The following is a 14,845-nucleotide window of genomic DNA, read 5'->3' as shown; positions in this document are numbered from 1 at the left end:
AAGTCACATAGCCTCACAGCTTGGATGTGCTTATGTATAATATGGGAATCAAGATCCTACCCTGTGGGGTTAGATGCATGAACTGAAAGAAATAAGGTATGTACATGGCCTAATATGTAGTGGCTGTATATATATATATATATATATATATATATATATATATATATTTTTTTTTTTTTTTTTTTTTTTTTTTTTTGAGACAGAGTCTTGCTCTGTCGCCCAGGCTAGAGTGCAATGGCGTGACCTCAGCTTGCTGCAACCTCTTCCTCCTGGGTTCAAGCAATTCTCCTGCCTCAGCCTCCCGAGTAGCTGGGATTACAGGTGCCCACCACCACACCCCACTAGTTTTTATATCTGTAGTTGAGATGAGGTTTCACCATGTTGGCCAGGCTGATCTCGAACTCCTGACCTCAGGTGATCTGCCCATCTCGGCCTCCCACAGTGCTGAGATTACAGGTGTGAGCCACCGTGCCCGGCTCATATATGGTTTTTGTTTGTTTGTTTGTTTTTTGAGATGAGTCTCACTCTCGCCCAGGCTAGAGTGCAGTGGCACAATCTCAGCTCACTGCAACCTCTGCCCCCAAGGTTTAAGCGATTCTTCTGCCTCAGTCTCCCGAGTAGCTGGGATTACAGGTGCCTGCCACCATACTTGGCTAATTTTTGTATTTTTAGTAGAGATGGGATTTTGCCATGTTGACCACGCTGGTCTGGAACTTCTGACCTCAAGCGATCCACCGGCCTCGACCTCCCAGAGTGCTAGGATTACAGGCGTGAGCCACCACACCCAGCACCCCCTCGCCCACTTTTTTTTTTTTTTTCGAGACAGGGTCTCACTCTGTCACCCAGGCTGGAGTGCAGTGGCACTATCTTGTCTCACTGCAACCTCCGCCTCCTGGGTTCAAGCGGTTCTCATGCCTCAACCTCCCGAATAGCTGGGATTACAGGTGCCCGCCACCATGCGTGGCTAATTTTTTTGTATTTTTAGTAGAGACAGGGTTTCACTATGTTGGCCAGGCTGGTCTCGAGCTCCTGACCTCAGGTGATCTACCCGCCTCAGCCTCCCAAAGTGTTAGGATTACAGGCGTGAGCCACCGCACCTGGCACCCCCCCCCCTTTTTTTTTAATATAAATGATCAGTCTTAACTCCCTAGGTTATCAGGTTGAGGGGGTGGGGATGAGGCTGGGGGACAGATTGTTTTCCTGGCTTCTAGCTCGGTGTTCTTTCTGCCTCTGTGCACAACAAGGTATGCGTGTATTGTGGTTGTGGACTGTGGTTGTGGACTGCCTATTCACAAGTGGCTATGAGGCCCATCTGCTGATGCTTTTGGATGCACTTGGTGATGAACTTCTGCTGAGTAACCTCTTCACAGGGCCCCGGCTGGGACAGAAGGTGTGCAGACTGTGGTTTCAGTTCAAACACATGGTTTCCTGTGGTCTGGGAGATAGCCAAAGGGTGATACAGGAAGAGCACTGGACTTGGGTGACTGGAGACCTTACTTCCAACTCTGGCTCTGGGTGAGGGGAGGTTTGATTTCCTTTTTGTTTTTTGATTTCGTTTTGAAGCAGGGTCTTGCTCTGTTGCCCAGGCTATAGTGCAGTAGCATGATCATAGCTCACTGCAGCCTCAAATTCCTGGGCTCAAGCAATTCTCTGCCTCAGCCTCCTGAGTAGCCAGGATTACAAGTGCACACTGCTACACCTGGCTAATTTTTGTGTTTTTTGTAGGGATGGGATCTTGCTGTATTGCCTAGGCTAGTCTCAAACCCCTGGGCTCAAGCAACCCTCCTGCCTCAGCCTCTCAGAGTGCTGGGGTTACAGGTGTGAAATACTGCACCTGGCCAGGTTTGATTTCCGAGGAGGTGCCGTATCTCCCTACAAAGATATCATACCAGTTTATGTGCCCACAAGTTATGTATGGGAGTGCCTGAAAAACTGAAAAATTAAGTAATTTTATTTATTTATTTATTTCTTTATTTGAGATGGGGTCTCACTCTGTTGCCCAGGCTGGAGTACAGTGGCATGATCTTGGCTCACTGCAGCCTCTGCCTCCTGGGTTCAAGCAATATTCCTACCTCAGCCTACCGAGTAGCCAGGATTACAGGGGTGCACCACCACACCCGGCTAGTTTTTGCATTTTTAGTAGAGATGGGGTTTCACCACGTTGGCCAGGCTGGTCTCGAACTTCCGACCTCAGGCGATCCACCCGCCTTGGCCTCCCAAAGTGCTGGGATTATAGGCATGAGCCACCACACCCAGCAAAATCAAGTAATTTTAATTTCCTAGGCACTCTTTTTTTTGTTTTTTGAGACTGAGTCTCGCTCTGTTGCCCAGGCTGGAGTGCAGTGGTGTGATCTCGGCTCACTGCAACCTCCGCCTCCTGGGTTCAAGCGATTCTCCTGCCTCAGCTTCCCAAGTAGCTGGGATTACAGGCGCCTGCCACCACGCCCAGCTAATTTTTGCATTTTTAATAGAAATGGGGTTTCACCATGTTGGCCAGGCTGGTCTCGAACTGCTGACCTCAGGTGATCCGCCCGCCTTGGCCTCCCAGAGTGCTGGGATTACAGGCGTGAGCCACCGCACCTGGCCAGCACTCTGGTACCTTATTGATGGGAGTGTATATTGTACAACCCTCTTTTTAGAAGGTCGTTTGGGGCTGGGCATGGTGGCTCACATCTGTAATCCCAGCACTTTGGGAGGCCAATGGGGGAGGATTGCTTGAGCCCAGGAGTTCGAGATCAGCCTGGGCAACACAGGGAGAGTCTGTCTCTGGGTTACATTAAACAACAACAACAACAACAAAAGAAAGTTGTTTGGCAGTATCTGTCAAAGCATACTCCTTCCGACTATATTCTAGGAATTCATCTCACAGATAAACTCAGATGTGCTGAAGGAAATGTCTGAGAATCTTCATTGCGGCATTGACATAGAAGATGACAGGAAACAAGTTGTGCTATTAAAAAGGTCAACTAAATCATGGTACAGCTGTACAGTGGAAGTCCTTGCATCCCTTTGAAAAATGAGGTCAATCCATATGTACTGATAGGGTGTGCTCTCCAAGCTATGTTGTAAGTGAAAAACACCAGACGCAAAGTAGTGTAAATGGTGCTTCGTTTTGTGTAAAACATGGTATGTAAACTCTGCTCTGTGCATGCAGTATTTCTGGAAAGATACTGAGACCCTGGTAATGGTGGTTGCCTAGGGTCTAGGCAACAGGAGCAGGGAGTGAGCAGTACATTTCACTCAATACTTTTTTTTTTTTTTTTGAGATGGAGTCTCGCTCTGTTGCCCAGGCTGGAGTGGCATGATCGATCTCGGCTCACTGCAACCTCCACCTCCTGGGTTCATGTGATTCTCCTGCCTCAGCCTCCTGAGTAGCTGGGATTACAGGTGTGCGCCACTATGCCCAGCTAATTTTTTTGTATTTTTAGTAGAGACGGGGTTTCACCATGTTGCCCAGGTTGGTCCCCATCTCCTGACTTCAAGTGATCCACCTGCTTCTTCTTCCCAAAGTGCTGGGATTACAGGCATGAGCCAGTGTGCCCGGCCATATTGTCCCTAAAGAATAAAAAATTCAGCTATTTCTTATTTTTCTTAACTATAAAAATAAGGGGTCCAGCTGGCTAATCTGTAGGTCTCAACTTTAAAGTGCATTGCTTTAGGTTCCATATTGCATATTGAATGCCTACCTTTTACAAGGTAAGAGGGAAGGGTCTTTGTGCTTGAAACCTTTGGGTCCTGTTTTCTTCCCATGATGTCACATCACTAGAGTAACCCCTTAAACAGAAGTCCTTTCTGATCTACTTCCTCATATTCTGGGAAATGGTAGATGATTGATTTTTCTTTGCTGTATGAGAAGAGAAAGCCTGCATGTGTGTCTGGAAAGCGTTTTGGGATACCCTCTTGCAAGGTTTCCATAATTCGCTTGGCTCCAAATCATAAGCTGTCCTGTCCTGGGGAGCCCACCCCAACCTGAAGCCCAACCCAGGCCCTCACATACCTGGCTTTCTTTCTTTTCTTTTCTTTTCTTTTCTTTTTTTGGAGACAGAGTCTCACTCTGTTGCCCAGGCTGGAGTGCAGTGGCGTGATCTTAGCTCACTGCAACCTCCACCTCCCAGGTTCAAGCGATTCTCCTGCCTCAGCCTCCCGAGTAGCTGGGATTATAGGCACCTGTCACCACGCCTGGCTAATTTTTGTATTTTTAGTAGAGGCAGGGTTTCACCATGTTGGCCAGGCTGGTCTCGAACTCCTGACCTCAGGTGATCCACCTGGCTTGGCCTCCCGAAGTGGTGGGATTACAGGCGTGAGCCACCGCACCCGGCCACCTGGCCTTCTTTTTTAACTTGGGGTCATTGCATCCACTATTATGCCCCTTCCCACTCTGTCCCCAGTTTCCCCTAAGACATCTGGCCTGTGGTTTTTATGTATAACAACACTGGAAAAGCCCAAATTCTTGAGAAGATGTGATCAGAGGGGTGTTTTGAATGGGAGGGCCCTACCCCCCTTCTCAAGGATGGCTGTCTTTCGCCTTGGATGGTGTGGGCCCTGGGAGGAGCTGCCGGCGCTGCTGTTGTGCCCGATTGACTCCTTTCCTGAGTGAAGTCTGGAAGACCCCATCAGGGTCCTGAGGTCCTGCAAGGCAGCCTCCGGGCCTCCTGGGGGAATGGTGTGAGTCACACATGAGCACACACTATGAGACTGGCTCTAAAATGGGACCGCCACTGCATGGGCGGGCGGCCTGTATCTGTACCCAGCTCCCTGTCCCTTGTGCTTAGATGGCACCAAATATTTGGGAGGCAGGAGGGGAGCTGCCCACTCTGATGCATGTCTCTTTAAAAAGTAACCTAGGCTTCTGTTGGAATTACTCAGGTTCCCATTCCCACGATTAGCTTCTCGAGCCTGAGATGATTCAGCACCCGGGCAGGTGTCCCCAGAGAAGGCCCTTAGCTAGCCCGCCAAGCGCTGGAGCAGCTGGGAGTCCCTCAGTGGCTGTCTGCATCTCTAGCCCAGGACCCTCCTGCTGTGGCTGGAAGGAGCCTTTGCAGGGCCTTCCGGAAGGGTGTGGCTTCCTGCCGTGCAGGTTGGGCTAAGGCCTGTAGTGGGGTTACAGGTAGCTGATCTTCCCCACCCTCGAGTCACTTCCTTGGTACTTCTCAGAGGCCCTTACCATCCTTATGGTATGTCCCAGAGGAGAAAAGGGGCTTCTCAGGGAGGTCCCTCTCTTGCCTTCTTAGGCCAAGATGATGTCTTTCTGTACAACTTTTTATTTTTCTGAGACGGAGTCTCGCTCTGTCACCCAGGCTGGAGTGCAGTGGCGCGATCTCAGCTCACTGCACGCTCCACCTCCCGGGTTCACGCCATTCTCCTGCCTCAGCCTCCCAAGTAGCTGGGACTACAGGCACCCGCCACCACGCCCGGCTAATTTTTTTTGTATTTTCAGTAGAGACGGGGTTTCACCGTGTTAGCCAGGATGGTCTCCATCTCCTGACCTCATGATCCACCCGCCTCGGCCTCCCGAAGTGCTGGGATTACAGGCGTGAGCCACCACGCCTGGCCTCTCTGTACAATTTTTAATGTGTTGGGGGAGCTCGAAGCTAATCTCTGAGTAGGTTGCCACTCACCAAAAGGACGTGGGCCTTAGAAAGAAGAGCCTTTCTTCTTGCATTTTAACTCTAATTTGAAATCATCCCCTGCTTAAAAGAAAAATCAGCAACAACAATGAAAACCCTCCCTACTGGATTTAGAATTATAGAATGCCTGGCTGGAAGAGATGTTGGGAATAATTAAAATAACATTTCTTTTTTTTTTTCCTAATTAGAGAAAAAGCGATTTGCTTAAGCTCATTCTGTGAGTCGGTAGAAAACCTTGGCCCCTGGTTTCGCTCATACCCAGTGCCTTTCCAAATCAGGAGGCTTCATTTAAGCGTGTTTTCTAAATGGTGACTCTCTTTTTTTTTGATGTTTATGCCCTGTTTAGCCAAGCAACACATACTGAGCTCCTTTAATCTTTCCTTAAGAGTCTATTCTTCTACTCCCTTCGTCTTTTTTGTTGTTTTTTGTTGGGGGGCACTAGGGTTAAGGAATGGGGTGGGAAGTGTTTTGGGTTTCTCTGAACTTCTTCCAGCTGGACGTGACCACTTGGGCTGAAAGTTCCCACAGCTCGAAAAATCAATATTTCACATGGGGTGGTGCCAGGCAGCAGGGTGGGCCATTCAGAAAGCCACACTGCTGCCCACTGTCCTCAGCCAGCCCTGATTTCTAGTAACTTTAGGTCACTTAATGTCTCCGGTGATAATTTGTTATATTTTCAACACAAAATGCACGGGAGAAGGAACAAAATAAAGTTTTGGGATCAGGCAGAGCTAGGAGCAGACCCCCCGCCTTTTCTCCTGCTGCTCGCCTTAGTTTTCCCATCTGCACCGTGGAGAAGCCTCTTTCTTAGCATTATAAATGGATGTGAAGTGGTCTGTTCCTCCTCTTCCTCCCCTTCATCTCTCTTCTTTTTTTATGAGACAGCGTCTTGCTCTGTTGCCCAGGCTGGAATGTGGTGGCGCGATAGCAACTCACTACAGCCTCGGCCTCCGTCTCAAGCATTCTTCCCACCTCAGCCTCCTAAGTAGCTGGGATCACAGGTGTGCACCACCAGGCCTGGCTAATTTTTTTTTTTTTTTGTAGAGACAGGGTTTTGCCATGTTGCCCAGGCTTGTCTCAAACTCCTGAGCTCAAGCAATCTACCTGCCTTGGCCTCCCAAAGTGCTAGGATTACAGGTGTGAGCCACCTCGTCCAGCTTCTCCTTTTCTTCATAGTAACAATAACATCATCTCTCCTCAGGTGGTAGGAAATACACGTTCAAGTTTTTTTTTGTTTTTTTGAGACGGAGTCTTGCTCTGTCGTCCAGGCTGGACTGCAGTGGCACCATCTCGGCTCATTGCAAGCTCCGCCTCTCGGGTTCACGCCATTCTTCTGCCTCAGCCTCCCGAGTAGCTGAGACTACAAGGTGCCCGCCACCGTGCCCGGCTAATTTTTTTGTATTTTTGGTAGAGACGGGGTTTCACCGTGTTAGCCAGGATGGTCTCCATCTCCTGACCTCATGATCCGCCCGCCTTGGCCTCCCAAAGTGCTGAGATTACAGGCGTGAGCCACCGCACCCGGCCAGGTTCAAGTTTTAGAGATTTCGTATTTATCCAACAAGCCTGTCCCTTGATAACAAGGTGCGGTGATTAAGATGACTGAGGAACCTGCTGGAACTCGCCCCCGGCATTGATGCTGAGGTTTCTGATGCCTGCAACTTTTGCATCCTTTTCCCATACAGTTCAATTCATCTCATTACACTGATCTGAGCTGGTTTAAGTATTTTTTTTTTTAGAAAGGCTGTTACAAAGCGATAGAGGCACCTTTATTTAGAGTTGTCTATGTTCAAAAGCCACTACGTTTCCTGTGTTTCACATTAAGTCACTGAGCTAGAGAAGGCAGCTTCCTGTCAGATAAACATAAGAACGAGGCATTTGGGACAGTCTGGGTGACTTAATCTAACTGGGCCAGAATCGGGGAGAAGATTTGAGAACTCGCTGTCCTCTGCGGGTGAGGAGGTCAAAGGCGGGGTCTTCTTTCATTTCTGTCCCTATGCTGTAACTCCGTGTTTGGGACAGAGTCAGCTCCTAGTCCTTATTGCACAAATGGGGTTCAGGTCTCATTGGTGTCTTCACTTTTTTTTTTTTTGAGGTAGGGTCTCGCTTTGTCGCCTAGGCTAGAGTACAGTTGCACGATCTTGGCTCACTGCAACCTCCACCTCCCGGGTTCAAGCGATTCACCTGCCTCATCCTCCCAAGTAGCTGGGATTACAGGTGTGCACCACCACACCCAGCTAATTTTTGTATTTTTAGTAGAGACAGGGTTTCACCATGCTGGCTAGGCTGGTCTCAAACTCTAGACCTCAGGTGATCACCTGCCTCGGCCTCCCAAAGTGCTGGGATTACAGGCATGAGCCACTGCGCCCAGCCAGTGTCTTCAGTTCTAAGCCTGCGACAGGGAGGCCTAGATAGCCAAAAGCTTTTGAATGCCGGTTAGTGACCTCTTCATTTTACAGAACACTGATCGGGGAATCCCTGGGAGGAGAAAGGTGGTGGTAGGGGGGCATTTTCAAGTTTTTATTTTTTATATTTAAGAACCAAGTATTGGGTATAAGGGAGTTGCCCTTTGCCAAGTCAGTCCGCAGAGACTCCCTAAGCTCCAGCTATGTGGTCTGCACTGTGCTGGCTTGGTGGGGCTCAGCAGCGATGGAGGGCTGACAGCCTGTCCCTGTCACCAAGCAGCCTTATCCTCCAACAGGGAGTTGGGATACTGAGGCAAGCCCATGCTACCCTGAGTCAGGAGACATCTGAGCATCTTGAGCTAGGTTCCTGGAGGCTAGGATTGCCTGGGAGGAGGAGGGAGGATGGGAAGGTGGGCATGGAAGGGAGGAAGAGCTGCTCTCTGGGTCCCATCACAGTCTCGTTATTAATTATAATTATTAAAGTTTACTGGCCGGACACGGTGGCTCACGCCTGTAATCCCAGCATTTTGGGAGGCTGAGGTGGGTGGATCACCTGAGGTCAGGAGTTCGAGACCAGCCTGGCCAACACAGTGAAACCACGTCTCTACTAAAAATACAAAATTAGCCGGGTGTGGTGGTGCATGCCAGTAATCCCTGCTACTGGAGTGGCTGAGGCAGGAGAATTGCTTGAACCTGGGAGGCGGAGGTTGCAGTGAGCTGAGATTTCATCACTGCACTCTAGCCTGGTCAATAGGAGCAAAACTCCATCTCAAAAAAAAAAAAAAAAAAAAAAAGAAATTATTGAGCACTTGTATGTACTAGGTACCATGCTGATGCTTTTAAAAAATTATTATCTTTTATTTAAAAAATTTTAACTTACATTTAAAAAAATGGAAATGGGCTCTCACTGTGTTGTCCAGGTTGGTCTCAAGCTTCTGGCCTCAGGTGATCCTCCCACCTTGGCCTCTCAATGTGCCGGGATTATAGGCGTGAGCCACCACTGCACCTACACCTGGCCATGCTAGGGCTTTTACATGGATTATCTCATTTAATTCTTCCCTGGTTTCCATAAGGTAGGAACTTATCCTCATTTTGCAGATGGGGAGACTGTGCAGGGATTCAAACTTGGGTGCTCCAGCTCCTGACTCTGTGGCCTTGGAGACGCCCTGCACTCCAGGACTTGTGTTTCCTCACTTGGCGGTGAGTGGTTGGGCTGGTCCTTGAGGCCTCCACCCTCACCAGTGGCTGAGCATTCATTCAATGGGCAGAGAGAACGTTGGGCTGCAGCAGAATGGGATCTCCCGTACAGCAGTTGGCAACCCACAGCGGGGTTGCCAGGTCAGCATTGATGCCTTGGCTACTGACTTCACCTTTAACCCCACTGGCCATTTTTCAAATGAATGTGGTTGGTCCTAAGGGAGAGCAGGTGGAAAGACCCTGGCCCCAGCGTGAATCCAGGCACTGCTGTGCCTGTCTGAGTAGTGCCCTCTGGGGAACCAGCTAGCCAGGCAACCTGCCATCATGTTGCCTAGTGAGCTCTTGACATCAGCCATCTTGAAACCATTGGGTTCCTTTCGTCCTTCATCTGTCCACCCATCAGATTCATAGTCATTCAGCAGTGACTCCTACTAGGAGGAACTGATTCTAGGTATAAGGCACTGGCTGGGTGCTAGGAATATGGAGGGAAAAGAAACATAGGCCCTTGTTTCTGGGAGCTGATGGTCTCCCACCAGATACCGATGCTGGAAACCCAGGGAGAAGGCAGGGGGGAGTCTGAGAAGGCTTCCTGGAGGAGGCAGCCTTCGAGATTGTAAAGTAGAGACATGGTGTGGCAAGTCCAGGGAGCAGGGGTGGGACCTCGTTCAGTTGCCCAGACGCAGGCAGAGCTTTGTTCAGGGGTGATTCAGGTTGGTGAAGGCCCTGTGAGTCACCTGGGGCTGGTGAAACGTTTCCTCTCCTCCTTAGGCCACGACCCAGCCTCTGCATAGGCCAAGACGGCCCGTGAAGGCTTGTTTCCTTGCCCCATTTCCCAGGAAATGTGGGAGTGCAGGATTCCACTCCCAGGTCACTCACCTTGGGGGTGGATGCTGGGAACGCGGCCTGCGCCCTCTGGTTGTGTGGCCAGCATGTTTTTCTAGCCAAAGGACTTGGGATGAGATTTTTCATGGAATATTGAGAGAGACGTAATTGTTATTAGAATCAGTTCTGTTTTTATTTATTATTATTATTTGAAACAGAGTCTCACTCTGTCGCCCAGGCTGGAGTGTACTGTCACAATCTTGGCTCACTGCAACCTCCGCCTCCCAGGTTCAAGCAATCCTCCTGCCTCAGCCTCCCGAGTAGCCGGGATTACAGGCGCGTGCCGCCATGCCCGGCTAATTTTTGTATTTTTAGTAGAGATGGGGTTTTGTCATGTTGGCCAGGCTGGTCTCAAAAACTCCTGACCTCAGGTGATCCGCCCACCTTGGCCTCCCAAAGTGCTGGGATTACATGCTTGAGCTACCATACCTGGCTAATTTTTGTATTTTTAGTAGAGATGGGGTTTTGCCATGTTGGCTGGGCTGGTCTTGAACTCCTGATTTCAGGTGATCCACTTGCCTCGACCTCCCAAAGTGCTAGAATTACAGGTGTGAGCCACCGCGCCCAGCCAGTTCTTCTGTTTTTAAAGTAAAAAAAAAAAAAATAAGGTGGGGGTGTGTGTGGTGTTTATTGCACAAGCATTATTGCAACAAAGCTGGCAAGAAGCAGATTTGCCCTGCACCTCATCCACCGTTTTGCATTTTTCTGGGTTTTCTGTCCATATACACATGTATTTTACAAAATTGTAAGCAGAATGGAGACTGTGTGTGTTCTGAGTTACTACTATAATGCAAAGTTCCTATGTTTCATTGGTCGCCAGAATTCATATTTTAATGACCCTCTTATGTCCACTGAGGAGAGGGACCATTTTTCATGTTGCCAGAAAGTTCCACGAGTTTTATTGAGTCTTGGAAATTCATTCAGCAAATGTATCCAGTACATCTATTCTAGATCTAGGCCAGAAACTGCCCGCTGGTCAGGATGCAGATGAACAAGAGGTCCCAGGCCCTGTCCTGGAGGGGGCTCGCAGCGTAGACCTAGGAACATGCCACTTCACTCTGGTGTGGTTGTGATTGAAGGGGCTGAGGAGGTGGGGGCTGCTTGGATGCCCAATTCCAGTCAATTCCAGCCGATGGAAAACAGGTAAAACCACTTTGTCAGTAGTGGTGAGAAGGCTTAGAAACAAGGGAGCTGGGAGATCTGTCCGGGCTTTTGGAGGAAGCTCTTCAACCTGTTCACCCCGCCTCCGCCGTTGTGTCACTTCCAAGGCCCCTGGCCAGAAAACCCACTGGGAGGAAGTGAGGGAGAGAAGAAGTCTCCAAGGGACCATGACAACAGGGAGGCTTGGGAAATAGCCCCCGGCCCTTCTGAGGGAGACCCTACCGAGGGTGGCAGTGGAGCAGGGGCAGCTGAGGGCAGGGGCAGGGGGAGGATAGTGGGGTGGAGTGGTCTTCCAAAGTCGGAAGGCCATTGGCAGGAGACTTGGGCTCTGCTGAGGCCCCTGCCTTTTCCAGGATGGTGTGAGAATGGTAGCAACAAGTTGCAACAGTTTAGTTTTGTTGTAAAGAGGAAGTTTCAGAATCCTAGTGGCTACTTTTGAGCAGACAGATGTTTGTAAAGAGAGAGTATTTGGGGGTGGGCCTAAGGGGAGAAGATGGGTGGTCAAGGGGCTAGAAATTGGAATGCAAGGGCTGCCTTTGCTCCCGTATTTCCTTTCATTCCAGAGAAAGGCTTCCTCTGCCAGGTGTTGTGGCTGCCTCTTTCGGCCTCCAAGGCCCCTGTTCCCCAACCCCGGCTCCCCACTCAAGTCCCGCTGACCTGAATTCTGCTGTCTTCCTAGACAGCAGGAGAGAAGTCGTTTGCTTATGGGAAAGTTTCCAAAGTCTTGTTGCTCCCCACCCCACCGAGGGCACGAACAGGGCTGGGGGCCCAGGTGGTCACAGTGGCCACCGCTGCCCTTGTGTGTTGCAGATTTGCCGAGCTCCTTGCGTCCTCCCCTCCAGCCTGCTCTTGGGACCTGGATCAGCACCAGGCCTCTCGGGTTTGAGGTTTCACTGGGACAGCTCTGTCACAGTCCTTAATACCTCCCATGATTAAATACAAACTCAGCAAAAACACAATCTAAACCTTAACCTAACTTTTTTTTTTTATTACCTGTCATTTTTTTTTTTTTTTTGAGAGACAGGGTCTCACTCTTTCTTTTGCCCAGGCTGGAGTGCAGTGGCACAATCATAGCTTATTGCAGCCTCAACCTCCTGGGCTCAAGTGATCCTCCCACCTCAGCCTCCCAAGTAGCTGTGACTACAGGTGCACACCACCACACCTGGCTGATTTTAAAATGTTTTGGTAGAGATGGGATCTTGCTATGTTACCCAGGCTGGTCTTGAACACCTGGGTTCAAGTGATCCTCCTGCCTTGACCTTCAAAAGTGCTGGGATTACAGATGTGAGCCACTGCACGTGGTCTGAATTTATACTATTTAAAATTATTTAGTAGCTGTTATATTGGAGGAAGGAGAGGTGGATACAAGGAATAGAGAAAGCAACAGGAAGTGGGGTGTGGGGCAGGGAGTGGGTGACTTCAGAAGCAGCTGCTGGGTTTACATTTCATTTTCATTCAATTTATTTGTTCATTAAATACATATCAGTTGCTAGAGACTGTTCTAGGTTCTGGGGACACATCATTGATTAAGGCAACTGAAGTCCCTGCAGTTTACTCTCTAGTGGCGGAAACAAACAATAATCAAACATACTTACTAGGAAAGTCAAGACAGTAAGAGCTGTAGAGAGCCCAAGCAGATGAGGGGGTATGTTGAGAGGTACTAAATTGCTCAGGCAGCTGGGTGTGGTGGCTTACGCCTGTAATCCCAGCACTTTGGGAGGCCGAGGCGGGCGGATCACCTGAGGTCAGGAGTTCGAGACCAGCCAGGCCAACATGGTGAAACCGTCTCTACTAAAAATACAAAAATTAGCCAGGCATGGTGGTGGGCACCTGTAATCCCAGCTACTTGGGAGGCTGAGGCAGGAAGAATCGCATGAACCTGGGAGGCAGAGGTTGCAGTGAGCCGAGATGGCGCCATTGCACTCCAGCCTGGGCAACAAGAGTGAAACCCTTTCTCAAAATAAAAATACGAATAAAAAAAAATTGCTCAGGCTGCTATGATGAAGTACAAGATTGTGTGGTTAAGCAGCAGACATTTATCCCCTCAGTTCTGGAGGCTGGAAATGCAAGATCAAGGTGTGGACAGGCTTGGTTTCCTTTGAGCCCTCTCTCCTTGGCTCATAGATGGCCGTCTGCCAACTGTGTCCTCACATGGTCTTCGCTCTGTGCACGCACACGCCTGGTGTCTCTTCCTCGTCTTATAAGGACACCAGCCATGGGATTAGGGCCTACCCGAAGGACCTCATTTTAACTTAATTACCTCTTCCAAGGCCCTGTCCTCAAATACCAGTCACATTCTGCGGTACTGGGAGTTAGGGCTCCAACATAATGGATATTTTTGGGAGGGACACAATTCAATCTGTAACAGGGAAGAAGGGAGTAGGGGAGTGTGTTTGTGTCAGCAGAGGGTTCTCTGATCCAGGGACATTCTGTGGATGCCTTCAGATCTGGGGGAGGAGCCCTCCAGGACGGTGCTCTACCGGTTGTTTAATTGCTTTGAGCTCCAGTTTCTGTATCTGTAAATTCTGGTTCATAGAACTATCTGTTAGTGTTCTCTGGGTAGCTAAAGTATGAAATGCTCTCAGCAGTGTCTAGTTCATGATGGACTCCCGATAAGTATCAATGCCCCTCCTGCCCTTCTTCCCACCCCCCACTGCCCACCCCTGGTTCACCAGCGCTTTTTCCTTTTGTCCCACTTTGCTCTCTGCTCCGGGCTTCTACTTCTGATCAAAACACTTGAGAACTGGGTGGGGGCTGCCCTGGCTGCTCCCAGCTCCCAGGCTGCCCTGCCTTCTGCCCAGTGCCTGTGAGCCAATTGTTCTTGGAGGTGGCTCCTCCCCTCTGTTAAGTCATAAGCACTTTTGACACCGGTAAGGAGGAACTGTTGTAGAAAGCTGGTGCAGGACTATAACCTAAACTCCCAGGTACTGGCCCGAGTGTTGGATGGCTGCGGTTCGAGCGTGCGTTGCCAAATGCTTCGCTTATGCCACTGTTCCCAGCGGACTGCTTCATGTCTTAGCAATTCTCTGTGCTGGCTTATGTGCTGGTCTTGCTTCCCCTTTTAGAGGCCTTGTCGCCAGGACCCTTGCATGGTGCCTTGCCCATGGTGAGCACTTGATACATGCTTGAGAAACAGGTGAGGATATTCATACTAGAATGTGGGTGGCACAGACCCTGATGTCCTGGGTAGATGGCTTTATTTCTTTGGCTTCTGAGCCTCACCAGCATGATGGGCGTGTGTCTGGTGCTTAGGTAAATAGGCAGGCACTCTGGACTCAGACCATCTGCCCTAATCTTGGTTCTCCCACCTGCAGGCCCTTTGACCTTGAGTGAGTCATACAATCTTTCTTTGTGCCTCAGTTTTCCTTATCTGTGGAATGAGGAAAATAAATGCCACAGAGGGTTTTGATGCTAATAAAGTATAGCTTTATTGTTTATATGTTTTATCTGTCCACAATTTATCTGGCACAGTGCCAGGTGATATATTTTTATCTGTTTAAAAATTTCAGTCTATTTTTTATATCACGTTACAAAGGTTAAAGTCACTTTCAAGTTATTGCAACAAAAGTCTCTCAA

The 14,845-nt window shown here is 49.4% G+C and overlaps 1 protein-coding gene across 1 annotated transcript in view, besides 2 other annotated features; it reads left to right on the top strand.

Annotated features, from left to right (window-relative positions):
* MYH9 (myosin heavy chain 9) overlaps nt 1-14,845 on the top strand; it is a 106,688-nt gene that overhangs the window by 3,189 nt on the left and 88,654 nt on the right. The gene's annotated exons all lie outside the window — the stretch shown is intronic.
* Nucleotides 4,779-4,928: an enhancer, noted in NCBI's record as "active region_18931". NCBI's record gives its function as "activates an Ori minimal core promoter by ATAC-STARR-seq in GM12878 lymphoblastoid cells {active_cell/tissue: GM12878}" and the evidence as "EXISTENCE:reporter gene assay evidence [ECO:0000049][PMID:35858748]".
* Nucleotides 7,295-7,374: an enhancer, noted in NCBI's record as "active region_18930". NCBI's record gives its function as "activates an Ori minimal core promoter by ATAC-STARR-seq in GM12878 lymphoblastoid cells {active_cell/tissue: GM12878}" and the evidence as "EXISTENCE:reporter gene assay evidence [ECO:0000049][PMID:35858748]".

Source organism: Homo sapiens, chromosome 22 (genome assembly GCF_000001405.40).
Source record: "Homo sapiens chromosome 22, GRCh38.p14 Primary Assembly".
In the NCBI taxonomy this organism is placed as follows: domain Eukaryota; kingdom Metazoa; phylum Chordata; class Mammalia; order Primates; family Hominidae; genus Homo; species Homo sapiens.
This window is presented reverse-complemented; position numbering and strand designations above follow the sequence as displayed.